A 21918-nucleotide genomic window follows, 5' to 3' on the forward strand; every position below is an offset into this window, starting at 1 on the left:
GACGGAAAGACCCTGCAAGACCCTGCCCTACTGAGTCCACATCTGCCTGGGGTCCCCTGGAGGCAGGTGGAAAAGTACCCTTCACCCTCAAACAGGAGGACACAGAGACCAGGAGCACAGCCAGAGGGGTGAGAGCCTTCAAGAGGCAGGCAGAAGCCCCGGGTCAGCCCTGGCTCGCCTCTGTCCTGCTGTGAGCAAGGCCCTTCACCACTCTGTGCCTCAGTTTCCCCATGTGCAAGTCCCTAGAGGAGTTAGGCTCTCTGTCCAGAGAGCTGATTCTCTGTTATCCACACCAACAGGGGCCAGAGGTGCAGAGAACGCCCAGGGTCACCATCCTGGGTCACTCTCAGGGCTCCGGGTTGTACTCTTGGAGGGGTATACTAAGCCAGATCTCTTCCCGGTCGTGCCAGCCTCAGTCTGCCCATGCCTCCTGACCATGCTGGAGCCAGGAGCCTGGAGCCACGGGCCAAGATGGGTGGGGGCTGGGGTAGGGGGTAGTGCTTTTTTAAAAAGAGAAGGGAGACCACTACCTTCATGGATGGTCATGTCCATCCAGCCGAAGCCCTCCTGCTGGAAGCCATTCATGTCCTCGGTGAGCGGGTAGCCGGCCTGCTGCGTGGCCTCCAGGAATGCGCAGTGCAGCGGGTGGTTGGTCTTGCCCCGGGACACCCGCAGCGGGCCATCGGCGCCCCGGTACCGGCTGGCGCCCAGCTCGTGGCCCTGCGCCTTGCGGAAGTAGGGCAGGCAGTGCGCGTAGTCCCAGCCGCGGGCGCCCTGGCGCTGCCAGCGCTCGTAGTCCTCGGCGTGCCCACGGACGTAGACCATGGCATTGAGGGATGAGGAGCCACCCCAGACGCGGCCGCGTGGCCAGTACAGCACGCGGCCGTCCAGGCCCCGCTGCACCTCTGTGTGGTAGCACCAGTTGTACCTGTCGTCGCACAGGTTGGCCACCAGGGCCGCGGGCATGTGGATCTTCCACGAGAGCCGCTTGCTCCCCGCGAGCACGTCCTTGGGCCCGGCCTCCAGCAGCAGCACGCGCTCGGCGGGGTCCTCCGTGAGCCTCCCAGCCAGCACGCAGCCCGCCGAGCCCGCGCCCACCACCACATAGCTGTACTCGTCCCGGCTCTCAGAGCCTGCGCTGGCCAGGGCCCGGGCACCCAGGGATTGCTGCTGCCCCAGGGCTCCCCGTGCCAGGGCTCCAGGCCGGCCCAGGCCTCGTAGGAGACACCACATGCTTCTATCTAGTCCAAGTCCTCTGATCCACGGAGGGGAATGAGATGACTCACTTCTCCCTAAAACAGGAAGAGGGGCTTTAAAAATCTTAACTCCGCATATCCAGGGTATGCTCACCAACGGCCTGCCGGGACAGGGTGCAGCAGGCCCAGCCTGATGTGGCTGCTCAAAGGAACTAGGAGGAGGAAGTGAGGGACACACAGGAATTTCAGAACTGTTTTGTATGTGCCAGGATGGACAGGCACAGGCCAGGGGATGGGGCAGCAGAAAGGCCCCTCCCCCAACTGAGGGGTAAAATGCTTCCCTGTGCCCTGTGTATGAACCTGGAGACTGGGCTGGAGTCTGCCTGCTGGAAGGCAGGGGGGCAAAGGGCTTTCCAAGGGAGAAAGAAAACAGAGTATTTGTACTCATCCCTTCAAGACAGTGGGCTCAGCCCCTACCATGTGCTAGGCACTGTTCCCTGCCCCACCCAGTTCCTGCAGCAATACACAGAAAGACATCTGCTCTCAAAACGGATGGTTTAGGGCCTGGGAAAAGGACAAGACTTAAATAACTGAAGGAAGATCAGCATGAGAGGCACGAGACTGTAGAGCTCAAAGCCTTTGACCCGAGGGGCCATGGGGAGCACTAGAGGGATTTGAAGCAGGTTCAAGATCAGAGCTACACTCTTCAAAGATCACTCTGTAGAATGCTAGCGTTTTAACAGAAAAATGGCAATAGCTTTGAAAGGGCCCTTTCCTAACAATGTTCAAATCAATCCCAGCATAGTGCACAGAGGTAGAAAAGAAACAGGATATGTCATGAAAACCTCCATTGAAAAGAACACCTGAGAACACCCCACCCGTGAGGCTCAGACCAACAAGGCCTGCCCAAGACAGGCTGAAACAAAAGGAAACCCTGATAAATCTCACCACCCCTTCCACAAGCCCTGCACCAAGTAACAGCAGCCTACCACTGGAGTGCAGAGGCTCTTTCTCCTCCTCCCGTCCACCGTTGCACAGGCATAGGAGACAGAGGTGGCGGGGCCTCCTGAATGGTATGTCTGAGGCTGCTGGAACACTGAGAAGAACTCTTCAGAGCTCCAGGCCCCACACCACTCCCCACCAGACTGACAACACTCCACACTAACAACCCAACAGAATGAAAGACAGGTCCTTTGCTAGGTATACTGTTTACCTCAGTCTCCACTATCCCATTACACACAAGGTCTAGCATTCAATAAAAAATTAGGATACATACCAAAAAGCAAGGCAAATAATGACTCCTTATCAAGAGATAAAGTAGTCAACAGAAACAGACCAAGGAGTAATGCACCCAGATGTTAGAACCCATCAAACAGGGACTTTAACCAAGGTGAGCATTATAAAAGATATAGTTGAAAAGGTGGACAGATAGGAAACTTCAGCCAAACAATGAAAACTATAGAAAAAAACATAAATGCAAGAAAAAAATACAATGTTAGAGAAGAACAATTTTTAATTGGATATAGCACAGAAAAGAATCTGGAAATATAAAGAGGGGAAGAGAGAAAAAACAACCAACAACTCTGGGACAATATCAAACTAAAGTACAGATAACTGGAGTCTGAGGGGGAAATAGTGGGGAAGGAGGGCAAGGCGGAAAGAAGAGACAGAGAACAAGGGAGGAGAAATATTTGAAGAGATAATTGCTGAGACTTTCCCAAACGTAGTGCAAGACAAAACACTATGGATTCAAGAAGCTTAGAGCATCCCAAGCAGGATTAGTACAAAGAAAAACACATCTAAGTACATCATAGTTAAGCTGCTGAAACTTCAAAATAAAGAGAAAATCATCACTGTAGCCAGACAAAAAACATATGCAGAGGAATAAATATAACAATGACAGTAAAATTCTCAGAAAACATGCAATCCAGAAGATAATGGAGTGACAACTTTAAATATTGAAAGAAAAAAAAACCTCTAGTCCTAGTTTACTGAAATTGAAAAATTATACCCAGGGAATACATCTTTAAAAATAAATTAGATGATAATTTAGATGAAATGGACTAATTCCTTGAAAGATACAAGCTGCCAAAACTCACACAAGCAGAAAGACACTCCAGATAAGCCTATATCTATTAAAGAAATTGAATCAATAATTGATAACCTTCCAAAACAGCACCAAGCTTGACTAAGCTCACTGGTGATTTCTATCAACCATTTAAGGAAGAAATTATACCAGTACTCTACAGTCTCTTCTAGAAGATAGAAACAGACGATTACTTCCTGACTCATTCTGTGAGGCTAACATCACCCTAATAACAAAACCAGACAAAGACATTACAATAAAAAAAAAAAACCACTACAGACCAATATCTTTCATGAACATAGATAAAAACACTCAACAAAAATACTAGAAAATTGAATCAAAGTATGTATAGAAAGAATTATATACCACAACCAAGTGGGCTTTATCTCAAGTATGCAAGACTGGTTCAACATTCAAAAATAATCAACAGGCTGAAAAAGAAAACTCACATGATCATATTAACAGATGCAGAAAAAGCATTTGACAAAATTTAACATCCATTAAATGATAGAAACTCTCAGTAAACCAAGAGTAGAAGGAAACTTCCCCAACTTGGTAAAGAATATCTACAAAAACCCTACAACTAACATCATACCTGACGGTAAAAAATTCAAAGCTTTCTCACTAACCAGGAACGAAGCAAGGATGTCCCTTTGAACCACTCCTTTTTAGTATTGTACTGGAAGTCCTATCTAATGCAGTAAGACAAGAAAAGGAAAAGGTACAGATTGGGAAGGAAGAAATGAAACTTCGTTTGCTAATGACATGATTGTCCATATAGAAAATCTAAAAGAATCAACAAAAATTCCTGGAACTAATAAGCAATTATAGCAAGGTTTCAGGATATAAGGTTAATATATAAAAGCCAATTGCTTGCCTATATACCAGCAACAAACAAGTGGAATTTGAAATTAAAAACACAATATCATTTAAATTAGCACCCCAGGCTGGGTGCAGTGGCCCATATAACCCCAACACTTTGGGAGGCTAAGGTCAGAGGATCATTTGAGGCCAGGAGTTTGAGACCAGCCTGGGCAACATAGAAATACCCCATCTGATATGGTTTGGATTTGTGCCTCCACCCAAATCTCTTGTCGAATTGTAATCACCAATGTTGGAAGAGGTGACTGGATTATAGGGGCAGGCTTCCCTCTTGCTGTTCTCATGATAGTGAATTATGAGATCTGGTTGTTTATAAGCGTGTGGCACCTCCCCTCCTCTCTCTCTTCCTACTGCTCCAGCCATGTAAGACATGCCTGCTTCCCCTTCACCTTCTGCCATGATTGTAAGTTTCCTGAGGCCTCCCAAGCCATGTTTCCTGTAAAGCCTGTGGAACCATGAGCCAATTAAACCTCTTTTCTTATAAATTACCTAGTCTCAGGTAGTTCTTTATAGCAATGAGAGAAAAGACTAAATATACCATCTCTAAAAAAAAATAACTAGTAAAAAATAAAGTAACTGGGTGTGGTGGTGCATACCTGTAGTCCTAGCTTGAGGCTGCAGAGAGGTATGATTGAGCCACTGCACTCCAGCCTGGACTACTGCACCTCAGCCTAAGTGACAGCAAGACCCTGCCCCTAAATAAATAAATAAGCATCACAAAGAAATACTTAGGTATAAATCTAACAAAATATGTGCAAGATCTATATGAGGAAAACTATGAAACCCTGATGAAATTTAAAAACTAAATAAATGGAGAGATATTTCATGTTCGCAAATTGGAAGGCTCAATATTGTCAAGATGTCAGTTCTTCTCAACTTCATCTACAAATTCAATGCAGTCCCAGTCAAAACCACAGCAAGTTATTTTGTAGATATTAACAGACTGGTTCAAAGTATATATGGAGAGGCAAAAGACACAGAATGGCCAACAAAATACTGAAAGTGAAGCGCAAAATTGGAGGACTGACACTAACCAACTTCAAGATTTACTATAAAGCTACAGTAATCAAAACAGTGTCATATTGGTGAATAGATCAATGGAACAGAACAGAGAGCCCAGAAATAGACCCATATAAATGTAGCCAACTGATCTTTGACAAGTCATCAAAGGCAGCACAATAGAGCAAGAAAGTCTTTTCAACAAAGGGAGCTGGAATAACTAGACACACACACACACACACACACACACACACACACACAGAGTAAATATAGACAAAGACCTTATACCCTGCACAAAAATTAACTCAAAATGGATCACAGACCTAAATGTAAAATATAAAACTATAAAACTCCTAGAAGATAACACAGGAGAAAGAACCTCTAGATGACCTTGGGCTTGACGATGACTTTATATATTATGACACCAAAGGCACAGTCCATGAAAGAAATAATTGATAAGCTGGACTTCAATCAAATGTGAGTTTTCTACTTTGCTAAAGACACTACCAAGAGAATTAATAGACAAGTCACAGACGAGAAGTAAATCTTTGCAAAAGATACACCTTATAAAGGACTACTATGTAAATACACAAATAAATATATTCTTAAAACTCAATAACAGATAACCCGATTAAAGAATGGCCCAAAGACCTTAACAGACACCTCACTAAAGAAGACAGACAGATGGCAAAGATGCATATGAGAAGATCGTCCACATCATATGTCATCAGGAAAATGCAAATTAAAACAAGAGTGAGACACTACTATACACATATTAGAATGGCCAAAATCCAGACACTGACAACATCACATGCTGACAAGGATGTGAGGCAACAGGAACTTTCATTCATAGCTGGTGGGAGTGCTAAATGGTACAGCCACTTTGGAAGACAGTTTGGTGATTTCTTGTAAAAATCAACACACTCTTACCACATGATCCAGCAATTGTGCTCCTTGGTATTTACCCAAAGGAACTGAAAACTATGTCCAAACAAAAACCAGGAAATAAATATTTATGGCAGTTTTATTCATAACTGCCCAAAGCTGGAAGGAACCAAGATATCCTTCAGTAGGTGAATGGATAAATAAACTGTGGTACATCCTGACAATGGAATATCATTTAGTGCTAAAAAGAAATGAGCCAGAAAGCCATGAAAAAACAAGGAGGAAACTTAAATGCATAATTACTAAACGAAAGAAGCCAATCAGAAAAGGCTACAAACCGTATGAGTTCAACGATATTACATCCTGAAAAAGGCAAAACTATGGAGACAGTAAAACGATCAGTGGTTACCAGGAGTTGGGAGAGGGATAAACAGGCAGGCCACAAAGGATTTTTAGGGCGGGGAACTAATCTGTTTTCTGTACAGTGGTGGATACAGGTCATTTTTGTCCAAACCTATAGAATGTGCAATACCAAGAGTGAACCCTAATGTAAACTATGGGCTTTAGGTGATAATGATGTGCTAATATAGGTTTATTATTTGTAATAAATGTACCACTTTAGTGCGAGGATGTTGTTAATGGGAGGATTATGCACGTGTAGGGGCAAAGGTTATATGGGAAATCTCTTCACCCTCCTCTCGATTTTGCTGTGAGCCTGAAACTGCCTTTTTAAACAGTATTTTAAAACTATAATAGAGCCTGACTCCATTTTTGATGTTTGACTACCGATAGCTTTCAAGCTCCATCCCTCCCTCTTCCCCTCTTGCCCCACACCTGGGCAAGTGAATAAAAAAGCTCTGGCATTCCTGCCTGGAGTATCAACAGGGAGGTTCAAGTCATGCAAATCCAATTCACGTGTGGGATTCTCACCTTGACTCCACTCCCTAACTATAATAATAACCAGGAACACTCACCTCTTCCTTCACAGACAAGCCTGGGTGCTTGCCCTCCTCACCCTATAAAGCTCCATTATGTGAGCAATAAACCTTATGGTAGCCACTTGGTGTGTGTGTGATGTCATTAGTCTCAACATTCAAACCAACTTTGGGTGGTGGGGGGTTGATCCCACCCTCCATGGGCAACCACAAGACAAAACAATAACACTTACAAGAGCACCAGGAAACATGACATACTTAGTAATAAACTTAAAATATATACAGGACCTATATACTGAAAACTACAAAACATTGACAGAAGTTAAAGATGACCTAAATAAATACTACGAATAGGAAGACCCAATATTTTTATGATGTCAGTTTTCCCCAAATTGATTTATAGATTCGATGCAATGCCAATCCCAGCAGGCATTTTTTTTTTTGGTGGAAATTGAAATGCTGATTTCAAAATGTATGTGGAAATATAAAGGACATAGAAAAAGGTATAGTTCAGTTGGTCAAAGAAACCCCAGACAGCAGTGAAAATGAAGGACACATAGCACCTCACATCAACATGGATGAATCCTAAAAATATATTCAGCACACAAAAAGAATATTATAAGAGGCTGTGGCCTAAATGAGATTATATATATATATATATATCTTCACATATATTTGTATATATGTGAAGTTTTAAAACATGCAATTCATATATGCACCAAATATCAGGGCCCCAAAATGAAGCAAACAATGACAGATTTGAAGGGAGAAATAAACAGTCCTACAACAATAACTGGAGACTTCAATACTCAGATTTCAATAATGGACAGAAGCTAGACAGAAGATCAGTAAGGAAACAGAGGATTTGAATAACACTATAAACCAGTTGGAGACCTAACAGATATATACAAAACATTCACTACAACAAGAGAATATACATTTTTTCCAAGTGCACATGGAACATTCTCCAGGAGAGACCATATGTTAGGCAACAAAACAAATCTTAATACATCTTAAAAGACTGAAATCAGGGAGGAGAAGAGCAAGATGGCAAATCTCTATTTGCTCCATCAATCATCCCCCTCGCCCCCCACCCCCACAGGAACACCAAGTTTGACAACTATCTGCACAAAGGGAGCAATTTCATAGCAACCAAAAATCAGGCACCAGCTTGGCCACAGTGGAGGAGAGCACCAAGAGGGCTCTTGGGTTCCCTGATTCCAGGCCTTGGCTCTTAAGTGGCCTTTCCGGACCAACCCTGGGCCAGAGGGGAGCCCACTGCCCTGAAGGGTGAGTCTCAGGCCTGGCAGCATTCACCACAAGCTGACTGAAGAGCCCTTGGGCCTTAAGTGAATGCTGGTGGTATCCTGGCAGTCCTCCCTGTGGGCCTGTGGTGGTCGCCATGGTGTGAGGCTCCTCTGCCTGTGAAAAGGGAAAAGTGGGAAGGACTGTGTCACATGGTGTGAGTGCCAGCTCAGCTACAGTAGAATAGAACACGAGGTAGCTTTCTAATGTTTTTGACTCCAGTACCTGGCTCCCGGAAAGCATCTCTATCTGCCCGGGGCCTGGGGAAACTTGCCGCCCCAAAGGGAAGGCCACAAGCCTGGCTGGCTTCACCGCTGGCTAACTGTAGAGCCCTGGGGCCTTGTGTGAATACAGGCGGTAGCCACATAGTGGTTACAGCAGGCCTTGGGCAAGACCCAGTCCTGTGCTGACTTCAGGTCTGACCCAGCACAGTCCCAGTGTTGGTGGCCACAGGGGTGCTTGTGTCACCCTACCTGTAGGAAAGTTATATTTCATCAAAATCAAACACTTTACTGCATCAAAGGACATTCTCAAGAATGAAATGACAATCCATAGGAGAAAATATTTGCAAACCATATATCTGATAAGAGGTTAATATCTAGAATGTGTTTAAAACTATAACTCAACAACAAACAACTCAAATAGAAAATGGCCAAAGGACTTGAATAGACATTTCTCTAAGAAAGAAACACAAATGGCCAATAAACACATGAAAAGATGCTCAACATCACTAATCATTATGAAACTATAAATCAAAATCACAGTGAATTGCCACTTCACACCCATCCTGATGGCTATCACACCCATCAGGATGGCTATAATAAAGGCTGCAGTGAGCCGAGATGGCACCACTGCACTCCAGCCTGGCAACAGAGCCAGACTCCATCTCAAAAAAAAAAAAAAAGAAAGAAAAGTAACAAGTGTTAATGAGGATATGGAGAAATGGGAACCTTTGCACATTGCTGGTAGGAATGTAAAATGTTGCAAATTCTGTAGAAGACAGGTTAGCAGTTCCTCAAAAAGCTAACACAGACCATGTGATTCAGTAATTCCACTCCTAGGTATATACTCCAAAAACCTGAAAGCAGAAACTTGAACAGATATTCTTACACCAATGTTTACAGCATCATTATTCACAACAGCAAAAAGGTGGCAACAACTCAAATGTCTATCAACAGGTGAGTAGGGCCGGGCATGGTGGCTCACGCCTGTAATCCCAGCACTTTGGGAGGCCAAGGTAGGCGGATCATGAGGTCAGGAGATTAAGACCATCCTGGATAACATGGTGAAACCCCATCTCTACTAAAAATACAAAAAAATTAGCCAGGCATGGTGGTGGGTGCCTATAATCCCAGCTACTTGGGAGGCTGAGGCAGGAGAATGGTGTGAACCCAGGAGGCGGAGCTTGCAGTGAGCCGAGATCGTACCACTGCACTCCAGCCTGGGCGACAGAGCGAGACTCCATCTCAAAAAAATAATAATAATAAAACAAAAAAAAACAGGTGAGTAGATAAAATGTGGTATGTACATATAATGGTATATTATTCAGCCTTAGAAAGGAATGAAATTCTGGCACATGCTACAGCTTGGCTGGACCTTGAAAGCATTATGCTAAGTGAAATAAGCCAGACACCAAAGGACAAATATTGTATGATTCTATGGAATAGGCAAATCCATAGAAACAGAAAATAGATTAGAGGTTACTAGGAGACGAGGGGAAGGGAAACAAGGAGTTATTGTTTGGGGGAACAGAGCTTCTGTTTGAGGTGATGCAAAAAAAATTGGAAACGGATAGTGGTGATGGGTGTACAACATTGTGAATATACTTAATGCCACTGAATTACGCTTACAATGGTTAAATCACCAACAAAATCCTACATGCGACTGAATTCTGGATCTTGTTAAGTAAATCAAATCTATGAAGGGGAAAGGTATAAAGAAACTTGAGGGTAGTAGTAACCTCTGAGCAGGGAGGCATTCCTGGGGGTTTTCATTTGCACCAATCACATTTTATTTCTTGATCTAGATGACAGGCACATGTGTGTTTGTTGTTGTGTAGTTTTACAGAAGGTCTGCAGTAAATGACAATAATTAAAATTGACAAGATCAAGAGGCAAAACAGGAGCTTCGCCAGGGGGCAGCAAGCCTACCCTGCAGGAGTGAAGACAGACGCCTTCTTCCTGAGGTGGCGGCAGGTCATTTACTCTTCCGGGTCCCAATCATTTGAAAACCCCACCCCGTATCACAACTCTGCTCCAACACCTCCCCTTGATACTCCCACCCTCCCCACACAAGGGAGGGGCCTGCTACCCAAAGGGAACTCCTTGAGGACAGGGACTCCTAAGCTGCTAGCGTAGTGCCCTCTCAGGCCCGCAGGCTGGGTGGGTGGGCAGACTGACTGGTGTGAGGTAGGAGTTCCAGGGAAGCAGCCCCTTCCACTTCCCTGGGCTGCCTGGGCAGGGAAGGAGCTGCCTGGCATTGGCAGGATGGAAGGTGGGCAGGAATGGGAGCAGGGAAAAACAGGATAGCATGCGTGTTCATTTCCATGTGTTGGGGTCGGAGTCCTCCCTGCCATGGGTGGGGTCTGAAGTTGGTGAGGTAGCATCCAAGGCTTCCCTTTTGACTCTGGGTGCCTGCACTCCCAGCCCACTCTGTTTCCTGAAACCAACCATGTCCAGGCCCAGTCTAGTGCCTGGACCAGAAGAGGAAGATGTGGCTTTGCCAACTGACAAGCACGAGGAAGAACAGACTTTTGCCTGCTCTACCTTCCAGTCAAGAGGAAAAGACTCATGTGACATGAGTCCTCCCGCGGCACTGGGCAGCCCCACCAAGCCACACCTTCCATCTGGCCGGCTGGCCTTGGTGCTGGACACCTGGTCCCTGTAGCACCACTGTGTGGGAGGCAAGGCTTTGGTCAACTTGAAACCCCCACCCCCAATGCCAGTGATGGCCACAGTGGGTGGATCAAGCAGAGAGAGGAGTAACAAACATGGGGGCCACCACGTCCTACTGGTTATGGCTGGTGGCTTTCATTGCCATAGCCCTTTGTTGCATCAGCTAACAATTCTCATTTCAAATTCTCAAATCAGTAGTCAAAAATTGGCCAGGTGCAGTGGCTCAGGCCTGTAATCCCAGCACTTTGGGAGGCCGAGGTGGGTGGATCACTTGAGGTCAGAAGTTCAAAACCAGCCTGGCCAACATGGTGAACCCTGTCTCTACTAAAAATACAAAAAAATTAGCCAGGCATAATAAGGCATCTGTAATCCCAGCTACTCTGGAGGCTGAGGCAGAAGAATCTCTTGAACCCAGGAGGCAGAGGTTGCAGTGAGCCCAGATTGCACCACTGCACTCCAGCCTGCAGGGACACAGTGAGACTCTTTCAAAAAAACAAAAAAAAGGAGCCAAAGACTGCTATTGACAAGTTTGCTACATTTTGTGGTCAGAAAACGGATTGCTTTATACGACAAGACAGATTTCCATGTAATTTTGAGCATGTGGCCAATTGCACAAGACATTTTATAACTTTGGTAGAGTGAAGTTGCAAAAGGATCATGCCCAGAAGAAGATGCTTACGCACCATTCCAGGAGTACCCATACTTGCAACATGTCTGCCTGCAGAGTCGCACAGCTAGAGTACTGAGGAAGCTTCCTGAAAGGGCCCTTCGCACAGGCCTCCCAGCAGCACTTTCTTCCTCACCACATCTTGGTGTGCACACATGTTTTCTTTCTAGCTCTTGGCCAGTGCAGTGTACTGTGCCCTGTAGGATTAGATCCTTTGGCCATTACAGTCCTAGCTTTCACTGGTCACCCAAGAGGAGAAGACAGAACTCTGGAGAGAGGCCGAGCCACACCAGCCTAGTCCTGCATGCAAAATGATGCCTCAAACTTGCTCAGCCTTTGAGGAGCTCAGGCTGGACAAGGCCAATGATAAATAATGATTCCACTTTGGGGACAACCTGGGAGCATGTCAACATTTCCAGAAAAACAGATGCAATTTAAAGGTATAGCCCTTTGTCTCAGCAATCCTGCTTACAGGAATTTAATCAAGAGAGTGCTCTGCACAACCATAGAAAAACAAGCACAAGGGCCCTGTCCCTGTGTTGTTTACAGTGGCAAAGAATTATAAACAACCTAACACTCCCCTAATAGGGTACTGCCCATTAAAAAGTGAGTCCATCCACATGAAAGGACCCTGTTAACACATTTAAAAAGTGGCCACCATAGCCCATTGTGGACAAGGCTCAGGTAGGCCTAGCACAAAGCTCAGCTACTCATGAGCTTCAAAGCCCAGAAAGTTACTTTACAGCCCTGAATCTTGGCACCCTGAAGTCAGCACTGCCCCAGGCTTGCACTTGACCTTCACACCTGTCACTGTGCCCACAGGCCAGGCTGATGATGACAGTCTTTTGGGGAAACTGCAAAACATGTGGTAAGGGCCATGGCCACCTGTGCCCATCTGGGGGTCATTTGCCAAAGGAGGATTCAGGGCAGGTCACCTGCTTTTTTCCATCTGGCCTTCTAGTACTGGCTTTGACCTGCAATCTCTGTGAGACCTCGAACAAGATTCCCTACATGCTAGGCTGGGCTTTGTGTGGGTAAGAACACACTGCTCTGTGGCTGCCTTTATCTGATCATACAGCTCCATTAAACCATGGGACCAAACTGAGTTATATTAACAGGAGCAGCTACCCCTGCTGAGCACGTCACATGGGTTATCACATTTAAGTCACCAAAGATGCTGGGTGGGGTGGAGGGTCTTCATCATCACTCCGTCACCATCAGCCCCATGTCACAGAGAGGGAAACGAGCCTGAAGAGGTCGAGCCCCTGCCCCATGTCAAGCCAAAGGCTGGGACCCCCTCCACCACAGGCCCAGCCAACAAAGCCACATCACAGAAGCCAAAAGGTCATAGTCAGCATGCAAAAAGGTGCAAGACACCAAGTTCCCATGCCAGGGGTCTCAAGCCAAGAAGGCTTGGCTGCTTTCCTACAGCCCAGCAGAGCCTCCCAGGAGCACAACCGTCTGAATACCCAGCCCTGTGGTGGGCTGAGGGGAGTGCAGTGCAGTGGCCCAGGGTGGGAAGGATCCCAGTTTGAGAATGAGACCTGGCTGGGCCCAGAGGCGGTGGTGGTCCAGGGAGTAACCCTGGGCAGCTGCTCCTCCTCTCTCAGGAATCTCATGCCACCCCCAACCCAGGCCTCCATCTCCCTAAGACAGTGGGACAAGCTTCCTCATGGCCCCCCAGGCCCTCTTGTCCTAAGCCCGACCAGGCCAGGCCCCGGCCTCTGTAGCCATCATCCCACTGTGAGCATCGCTCCCTGGGATCCAGGTGCATGGTCCACCTTCCCTTCCTCCCCAGGGCCTTTGCACATGCTGTTCTCTCCTCCAGGTACAGGTGCTAACCTCCTTTCACCTACTCACTCCTCACCTTCCCTCAGGCATGGATTGCCCTCCTCACCACTGACCACATCCATCCTGGGACTTCTCTGTGCCACTTACTGGGACCTCAACAGGCTAATAGTGAGATGAGCTGTGGAAAGCCCACATCCCTGGCTGAGGGCTCCACGCCCTTGCCTCCCACCATGTGCTGAGCTTGGCCTGAGGCTGGCGCTGCGTCATGCTGGCCAAGGGGACACATGCAGGGGATGAGGCTGCACGTGGCCTACAGCAAACCCAACCTGCGCAGTCTGAGATGTGGATGCTGAGCTCATACACCTGTGCCAGGACCAACAGAAGGCACCCCCTGGGAATGTTCTAGATCCAGACCTGGTGATGGTTACCCAGGCATACACACAGATCAAAACCAACATGATGGACACTTCGTATGTCTGTTGCACCTCAATTAAAATGTTTAAAACAATTTTTTGAAAGCATTTTCTGGGCTGAGGCAGGATTGCTTGATGCAGTTGAGGAGTTGAAGACCAGCCTGGGCAACATAGCAAAACCCAGAAATTTTTTCTAAAAAAAAACTTGTTTTTTAATTAGCCAGGCACGGTGGTGTGTACCTATAGTCCTAGCTACTCAGAAGGCTGAGGCAGGAGAATCACTTCAGCCCAGGAGTTCAAGGCTGCAGTGAGCTAGCACTGTTCCACTGTACTCCAGCATGGGCAATAGAGCAAGACCCTGTCTCTAAAAGAAAAAAAAAAAAGGGCATTTTCTTTAGTGTCAAGTTTCTCTTTCCAGGAATCTCATCTCCCACATATTGATACATAATTAACAACTGAATTGGAAACTGCTACCTGGGAGATGATTCTGGACAGTGTGGACGAGGCCATACCACTTGGCCCCTTGTGCCCTGGCTGCTCGGGCGTAGCCCACCTGCCCTCTGGATCCTCTTGGTAAAAAGGGGCAGATGGGACTGGGCTGAGGCTACAGGCTGCCAACAAAACCCGAGGTGGAGCCCTGAAGTCTGACATCGCATCAGAGCTCTGCCAGGCCGCACCGTGTGACCCAGGGCAGGGTTTCCTGTTGGTAAGGCGTGGGCGCTGGCCTCTGCGGGCACCTCCGATGCCTGTGGCTCCTCTGAAGTAAGTCTGCCCTCCTGCCTCCCCTCTGCTGCCCCACTGTGGGTGCTTCCTCAGCCTGGGAACCTTGTGCTCCACATTCCAGGCCTCTGCCCTCTGCACACATCCCTCCACTCTCTAGCTGCTTCACCACTTTCTAAAACCTTCACGGTGGTCTATACCAAAAGCAGAGTGTATGTAAGGTGGGAGGCCGGGCGCGGTGGCTCACATCTGTAATCCCAGCACTTTGGGAGGCTGAGGTGGGCAGATCACCTAAGGTCAGGAGTTCAAGACCAGCCTGGCCAACATGGCAAAACCTCATCTCTACTAAAAATACAAAAATTAGCCGGGTGTGGTGGCACACGCCTTGTAGTCCCAGCTACTCGAGGCTTAGGCAAAAGAATCGCTTGAACCTGGGAGGCACAGGTTGCCATGAGCCAAGATCGTATCACTGCACTCCAACCTGGGCGACAGAGTGAGACTCTGTCTCAAAAAAAAAAAAAAAAAAAAAAAAAAAAGAGACTGTAAGATTGGAAACCTGGAGTTCTAACACCCAGGCAAGGGTGGGGGGCCCAGGCCGCTCAACCTCCACGGATGGCTCCTCAGGGTAACCTACTATTTCTTCTCCCTTGCAGGCGTGTCTGTGGATCCAGTCTGTGCAGGTGCTGCGGGCGCCCAGCCATGGGTAGGAGGCAGGGTACAACAGAGGTCGCTGCTGGGGAGACCCGAATCCCTTAGGGGCCCCTCCCAGAGTCAAGCACCTGATAGACTAGGGGATGGGGGATACAGTGCCTCAGGCTGGCCCCTGAGGAAGACTGGCCACTGTGCTCCAGATGTGTACTCCCTGCACTCTGGGCTGCACTGTGCCTGGGTGAGTGGCATCTGCAGCACAGAGGGCCTCGGGTGAAAGTAGGGAGGTGGGTATGGGTAACCCGGAGCACAGCCAGAGGCAGACCGAGGGGATAGAAGGCGCTGGTGTCCCAGCTCTTATGCAGTCACATAGCAGCAAAAGAAAGACAACTGCTGTTCCCTCTCCAGGGGAGATGAAGGCTCTCCTCATGGGCAGGCTTCAGAGGCCAGGAGTTACCAAGCTCCCACCTGGCAGAGCCCATCATGGAGCTGCTCTTCCTGCCATGTGCATTCACTTACAGACAGCAGTGGGGGAGAGCTAGAAGCTCCCAGAGCCACGTACACAGCAGGCACTCAATAAACGCTTGTCATGTGACTGGTATATAAAAATGCACTATCCGGGGAGGAAAAGCAGACACAGAAGCAGAGGCCTAGGGGGTAGTAGCTTCTCTCATAAGGATGAGGCTGGTGCTGCAGAATCTGCCCACTTTTGTCCACCCCTTGGACACCACCTGGATCAGGCCCCATCATCTCCACTGGGACCCTCCTCACAACATACTAGCAGTGTCCCTGCTACTAGTGCTGCCTCCTCAGGCTACCCCAGAACCAACTCTCCACAGAGTAGCCAGGGTGATGTCAGAACAAGCGGGGAGCCCGGACCAGCAGAAGGAGAAAAAGATATGGGCGAGGGTCAGCTGGGGACTCACCAAGGTGACTTCACACACATGAGGCAATTAAAAGACCGACTTCTCTGTATAGTCCAGGCAGGGGTCTGAACGGGAGAATGCAATACCACCTATAAAACATCCTTGCCCAAAAGTTCAAACCTGAATCTGATCACACTTCTAGATCAATCCACCGACTCACAAGAAACGCAAAGGTCAGAGCAACTTGCAAAGGTCCATCATCAGCAGAATCCAAGTGCAGGGAAACCCCACACAGTTCTTCAACAATAAATCCAAGTATAGAATGGATAAATGAGAGAGAGATGAGAGAGAGGAAGGGAAGCCTACAGGCTGTGAGAGGAACAAGATCCAACCATGAGAATGTGCTGCTCTTCACTGGACCCTGCTCATCTGAACACTGAGTGCGTATGTGAGGATGTCAAGATATCATTATTTGTCAGACATGACTATGATTCTGCAGTTATGTTGTTTAAACTCACCCTTTCAGGAACCTTTGTACATTGTTTGTGGGAATGCAAATTAGTACAGCCACTGTGGAAAACAATATGGAGATGCCTCAAAACACTAAAAATAGAAATATCATATAATCCAACAATCCCACTACTGGGCTGGGTATATAGAAGAAAGGAAGTCAATATATCAAAGAGATATCTGCACATTCATGTTTACTGCAGCACTATTCCCAATAGCCAAGACATGGAATCAACCTAAGTACCCATTAATGGACAAACAGATTTTTTAAAAATGTGATCCATATACACAATGGAGTACTATTCAACCATCACAAAGAATGAGTTCCTGTCATTTGCAGCAACACTGATGGAAATGGAGGTCGTTATGTTAAGTGAAATAAGCCAAGCACAGAAAGTCAAAAATCACATTCTCACTCATGGTGCGGAGGCTAAAAAAGTGGATCTCAGGAAGATAGGGAGTAGATGGGTAGTTATCAGAGTTCAGGAAGGGAAGGGAGGATGGAGGGTTAAAGATAGACAGTTAGATAGAAGAATTATCTAATATACAGTTAGATAGAAGAAATGAGATCTAGTATTTGACAGGTCAGTATGGTGACTGTAGTTAACAACCTGTTATACATTTCAAAATAACTAGAAGAGAATAATTCAACTATTTCTAACGGTAAATATTTAAGGGTGGCTCACACCTGTAATCTCAGCACCTTGGGAGGCAGAGGTGGAGGTGGGAGGACTGCTTGAGGCCAGGAGTTCAAGACCAGCTTGGGAAACATTGTGAAACCCCATGTCTACAAAAAAATTTTTTTATTAGCTGGACATGGTAGCAGACACCTGTAGTCCCAGCTCCTTAGAAGGCTGAGGTGGGAGGATTGCTTGAGCCCAGGAGTTCAAGGTTACGTGAGCTATGATCTTGCCACTGTACTCCAGCCTGGATGACAGAGAAAGACCTTGTCTCAAAAAAAAAAAGTTATCTAGGATTTGGCTTACAATCACCCTAGGGATTAGGGGGACATACAAAACAGGACCCCCACGAGGTGAGGCTAACAAAGTTATGTGAAGAGAACACAAAATTCCCATCTCCATCATCTCTTCTGGCTAATTTTATACAGGTTTCAAATCTTCCATGATAAAAAGGATTTTTGTAGTTGTTGTTTGTTTGAAATCTCAGATCCCACCAGAGGAGTGAAGGAAAGCAGAAAGGTGGGAACATCTCTGTGGCACAGGGCCTGGCCGACAGCGAGGGATTTCCAACGATTCCCCAGAAGTTTGGGGTGTTCTGCAAATGCTCATTGCCAGCTTCCTTTTTCAAGTAAACTTTTAACCCATCTTTTTGAAATCTCAGTTAAAAAATACCCACCTCACATCCAGAAGTGACAGGATACGGTGCACTCTGTGACCGGGGCTGGCCTACACACTCTTTGTGATTGTCTGAGAGAGATAAGTACAGAATCAAAAGTCAGAGGGTAGAAACTTTTACAGTTTTATCATTTGACACAGCAACCTATGTCTGTTGAGTCTAATAAGCAGATAGTGGGCTTATCTTTTTTATATATCTTCCATTTTATTATAACAATTTTCATCATATTTTAAAAATTGGCCCATGAAAGATTAAAATTTTAAAAACAGTCATCTAGTCTTTCACCATGGAGAGCTTGAGAAGCACTGTTATGGACCAGACATGGAACCCCTGCAGACCCCAAATCCACCAGCTTAGGAGGTTGGCCACAGATGCCAGGACAAATCTTCCCTTCCCACTGTCTGCTGCGCCGACTCCAGTACTTCCTATAAACACATCACAGGCGCTGCAAAGCCTGTTTGATTTTCTGCGCTCATTGGCACACTTCCACACCAGTACAAGCAGAGCCACTTCCAGCAGACACCTCTGTCACCCAGGCTGGAGTGCAGTGGCAGCTTCACAGCTCACTGCAAGGTCCAGGTTGTGTGCTGGGTGCCCCTGCTGGTCAAAGCACCTTGGCCAGCCAAGGTTAGCCAGCCAATTTTCACACACATGCCCACTGCTGTTTCCTCTTCAGACTTCTGGGTGGGTTTAACCGCAGAGGGTCCTAAGATTGCAAGGTGAGTGTTTGAAAAACTGACTGCTTCTTTGTATCAACTGGAAATCACTCTATCACTAAAGTACTGAAATTAATCAGGAGCTGGGACTAGTGTAAGACATCAACCTGCACCCATGGCCCTAGGTTTCTAGTGTGCTCCTGAAAATGGTATCGCTGTTCTAACTATGATACACACACACACACAAATCACAAATATAAAGTTATAAAATAAACTCACAGGCTGGGCGCAGTGGCTCACGCCTGTAATCCCAGCACTTTGGGAGGCCAAGGCAGGAGGATTGCTTGAGGCCAGAAGTTCAATATCAGCCTCAGTAACATAGCAAGACCCCATTTCTAAACAATAAAAAAAGAAAGAAAAAATTAGTCAGGCATGGTGGTGTGCACCTGTAGTCCCAGCTACTTCAGAGGGTTGCTTGAGCCCAGTGAGCGGATTGCACCACTGCACTCCAGCCTTGGCAACAGGACAACACTCTGTCTCAAAAAAAAAAAAGAAAAAAGAAAAAAAGAAAAGCGCAAAGCTAAAACCAAACCACATAGTGATTTTATCAAGTTCACAGCTGGCCTGAGTTTCATCCTCCCTCTTCTTACATAGCCTCACTCATCTTGTTTCTTCCTCCATAAAGTGTGGAATGTGATGCTACATCTACGACCCATATATTATTAATAACAAATAAATTCAAGTATCATGGATCAAAAAATATACCACCGATCCTGTTGCATGTGCCCAACATACGGCCCAACGTAGGGTGACAGGGTGATCCTCCCTGCAGCCCTATGAGGCTAACTTCATCACCCCTGTTTACAGATGGAGCTTTGAGAGAACGACAACAGTACCTGTCTCCTCTGCATCCGAGGCTTTCTTTGAGACCCCAGTGTGATAACAACAATGTAAAAATCAATGCAAGTACCCAGGAGACAAGGCACAGGGACCACAGCCATGAACAGAACACATGTATGTGACCTCAAGGGGTTTCTCCTAGGAACCAGGAGGAGTGGGATTAACGCTGAGTTAACACCTAGCCTGAGTCTGCGGGCTTTCCTGGGCCAGCCCCTCCTACTAGAGCAGAGAAAATGTGTTTTGTAGCCCTGCTGGGAACAGTGGGGTGCAAGCCCTCAGTGTGGCTTCAGGGTCTTTCCCTCAAAGCAGGCATTAAAATTGACCCTGCCAAGCTTAACCAGCTGGAGCAGAACATGGGGTTGAGGGAGCACCGAGGCCAGGAGTGCTCCCAACAGTTCCTCTCCCAGCTCCGGCTCACCACCAGGGGCCCTGGGAGACAGCCAGTATGTGCCAGAAACGGCTCACTCTTCACGAGACAATGAATCCACTGTTGACCAGCCAGGGCCTTGATTAATATTTGCAAAAGAACGAACTGGAAAATTCCACCTGTGTGGGTGGAGGCTGGACCCGCAGGACTTGTCAACAACCCTGATGGCCTTGTTCTCCCAGGGATGGATCAGGCAAAGAAGCAAAGGTCGGAATAACAATGACAGAATCTGGGGATTACCGTGACTCTTGGGTCCTAGGGAATTTCCCCCCCCACCTTTTTTTTTTTTTTTTGGTTCTGCCTCTCCTGCCCCTAAATTTACACAGCACTCTTAAATCCTTCAACTTGCTTTCCTATCTGCTGTTTTGCTGTTTCTTCTGCGTTTCCTAACAGCCCTGCTGGGGAGGCAGAACTGATGTCAGCCCCATGTTACAGATGGAGAAACAGGTTCCAAAAGACTAAGAGCCTCACTCAAGGCCAACAGATGGTGAATGAGCCGCAGAACCAGGTGGTCTGGAAGCCAGGCATCTCACCGCGCTGTGGCTGCACAGAGTCTGTGCAGACCCTAGGGTCTGGGTCAGGGCCATAGGTACTTGACCCAGTGATCTTCCAGGCTCTGGCAGAGGCCCTGACCTTTGCTCTGCTTGTGAAGAAAGAGGAGGAAGTTCAAACCAGCTCCCCTGGGTGGGCAGGCTCAGGCACTGGCCTTGGATGAAGGTAGGTGTTAATTTATTCATCCATTCAAGCATTTAATGAGCACCCCCTACAAAGCCCCCCCGGACAGGAAGGCACACTGGCTGGTAGCTCTTTCAGAAACCCAGACCTAGCAGAATTTATGACTGAAGGGAGAAGGTCAGAAAATGTCCAAAGGTCGCTTCTCTCATAGACTCAAATCACTTCATCGCCCCTATCACCACCCCATTTTACAGAAAAGGAAACTGCTCTGAGAAGAGCAGTGACTTGCCAGAGCCTCCAGTTCAAAAAGCCACAAAGTCATCAGGCTTAGGCAGCCAAATAAATTGTGTGCCTTCCGGCAGGCCACCTGGGACCTCTCATGCAGGGCCACTTGAGGCATGGCCTTCTGAGCTAGGGGGGAAAACCCCCGAGGGGACAGGCAGACACACCTGTTTGCCCACCTCAACCTCCAGTTGTGGCTACAGGGCCCTTCACACCCTCTCCTCCACTCCACAGCCCCAACTACGAAACTGAACCAGGTATCACCCCATCCCTAAGCCCCAGGGGGCCAGGGCAGTGTCATTCTGAACCCAGAACAGCAGGAAAGCCACTTGGCCTGGGTCTTGGGTCTCTGCCTGGCAGCCCCTGCCTGAGTACTCCTCCTTCTTACAGCTCAGCCACCTCCAGACCACCCTCACCTGACACTTCTTCCCCTGGGGGGAGAAAGAACCTCAGCCCTTCTCTTTTTACAAAACCCCCTCCCCTATCCTTTTGCCAAGGCTTCCTGTGACTGCCACCAACCAGCCTCAGTGCCCTTGGTCTCTCTGCCCCATCTGACCCCATGAGCTCCTCCCTCACTACTGGGCTTTCCTGCTGCAGCCCCTTAGACCTCCCCACCTCCTCAGGCAAGCTCTCCTCCCCAGGGCTCTATCCTCCTCTCCTCTCCACTGCCCCCTGAGAAAGTCTGACTCATGAACCCTGTCTCCAGGCCTAACCTCCGCACCCTGGTTGTCTCAAAGCCTGTGTGCCGAACAACACCAAGCTCACAGCAGGGCCTGCCCTGGCACACAACTGAAAAGCCAGCACAGCCCAGAGCCTGGCCCACAG

The 21918-nt window shown here is 47.4% G+C and overlaps 1 protein-coding gene across 1 annotated transcript in view, besides 1 other annotated feature; it reads right to left on the minus strand.

Moving 5' to 3' along the window:
• Window positions 1-21918, minus strand: part of CHDH (choline dehydrogenase) — a 34085-nt gene that overhangs the window by 10441 nt on the left and 1726 nt on the right. Inside the window, exons 2-3 of the mRNA NM_018397.5 lie at window positions 18154-18224; window positions 531-1292 (exon numbers count right to left, since the gene is read on the minus strand). Coding sequence (NP_060867.2) covers window positions 531-1233 — 703 coding nt within the window. The 5' untranslated portion in view covers window positions 1234-1292; window positions 18154-18224. The remainder of the gene's footprint in view (window positions 1-530; window positions 1293-18153; window positions 18225-21918) is intronic.
• Window positions 522-1121: an enhancer, noted in NCBI's record as "H3K4me1 hESC enhancer chr3:53857324-53857923 (GRCh37/hg19 assembly coordinates)". NCBI's record gives its function as "activates a minimal SCP1, AML or CMV promoter by ChIP-STARR-seq in naive H9 embryonic stem cells {active_cell/tissue: H9 hESC(naive)}" and the evidence as "EXISTENCE:reporter gene assay evidence [ECO:0000049][PMID:30033119]".

The sequence above is a fragment of the Homo sapiens genome, chromosome 3 (assembly GCF_000001405.40).
Source record: "Homo sapiens chromosome 3, GRCh38.p14 Primary Assembly".
In the NCBI taxonomy this organism is placed as follows: Eukaryota; Metazoa; Chordata; class Mammalia; order Primates; family Hominidae; genus Homo; species Homo sapiens.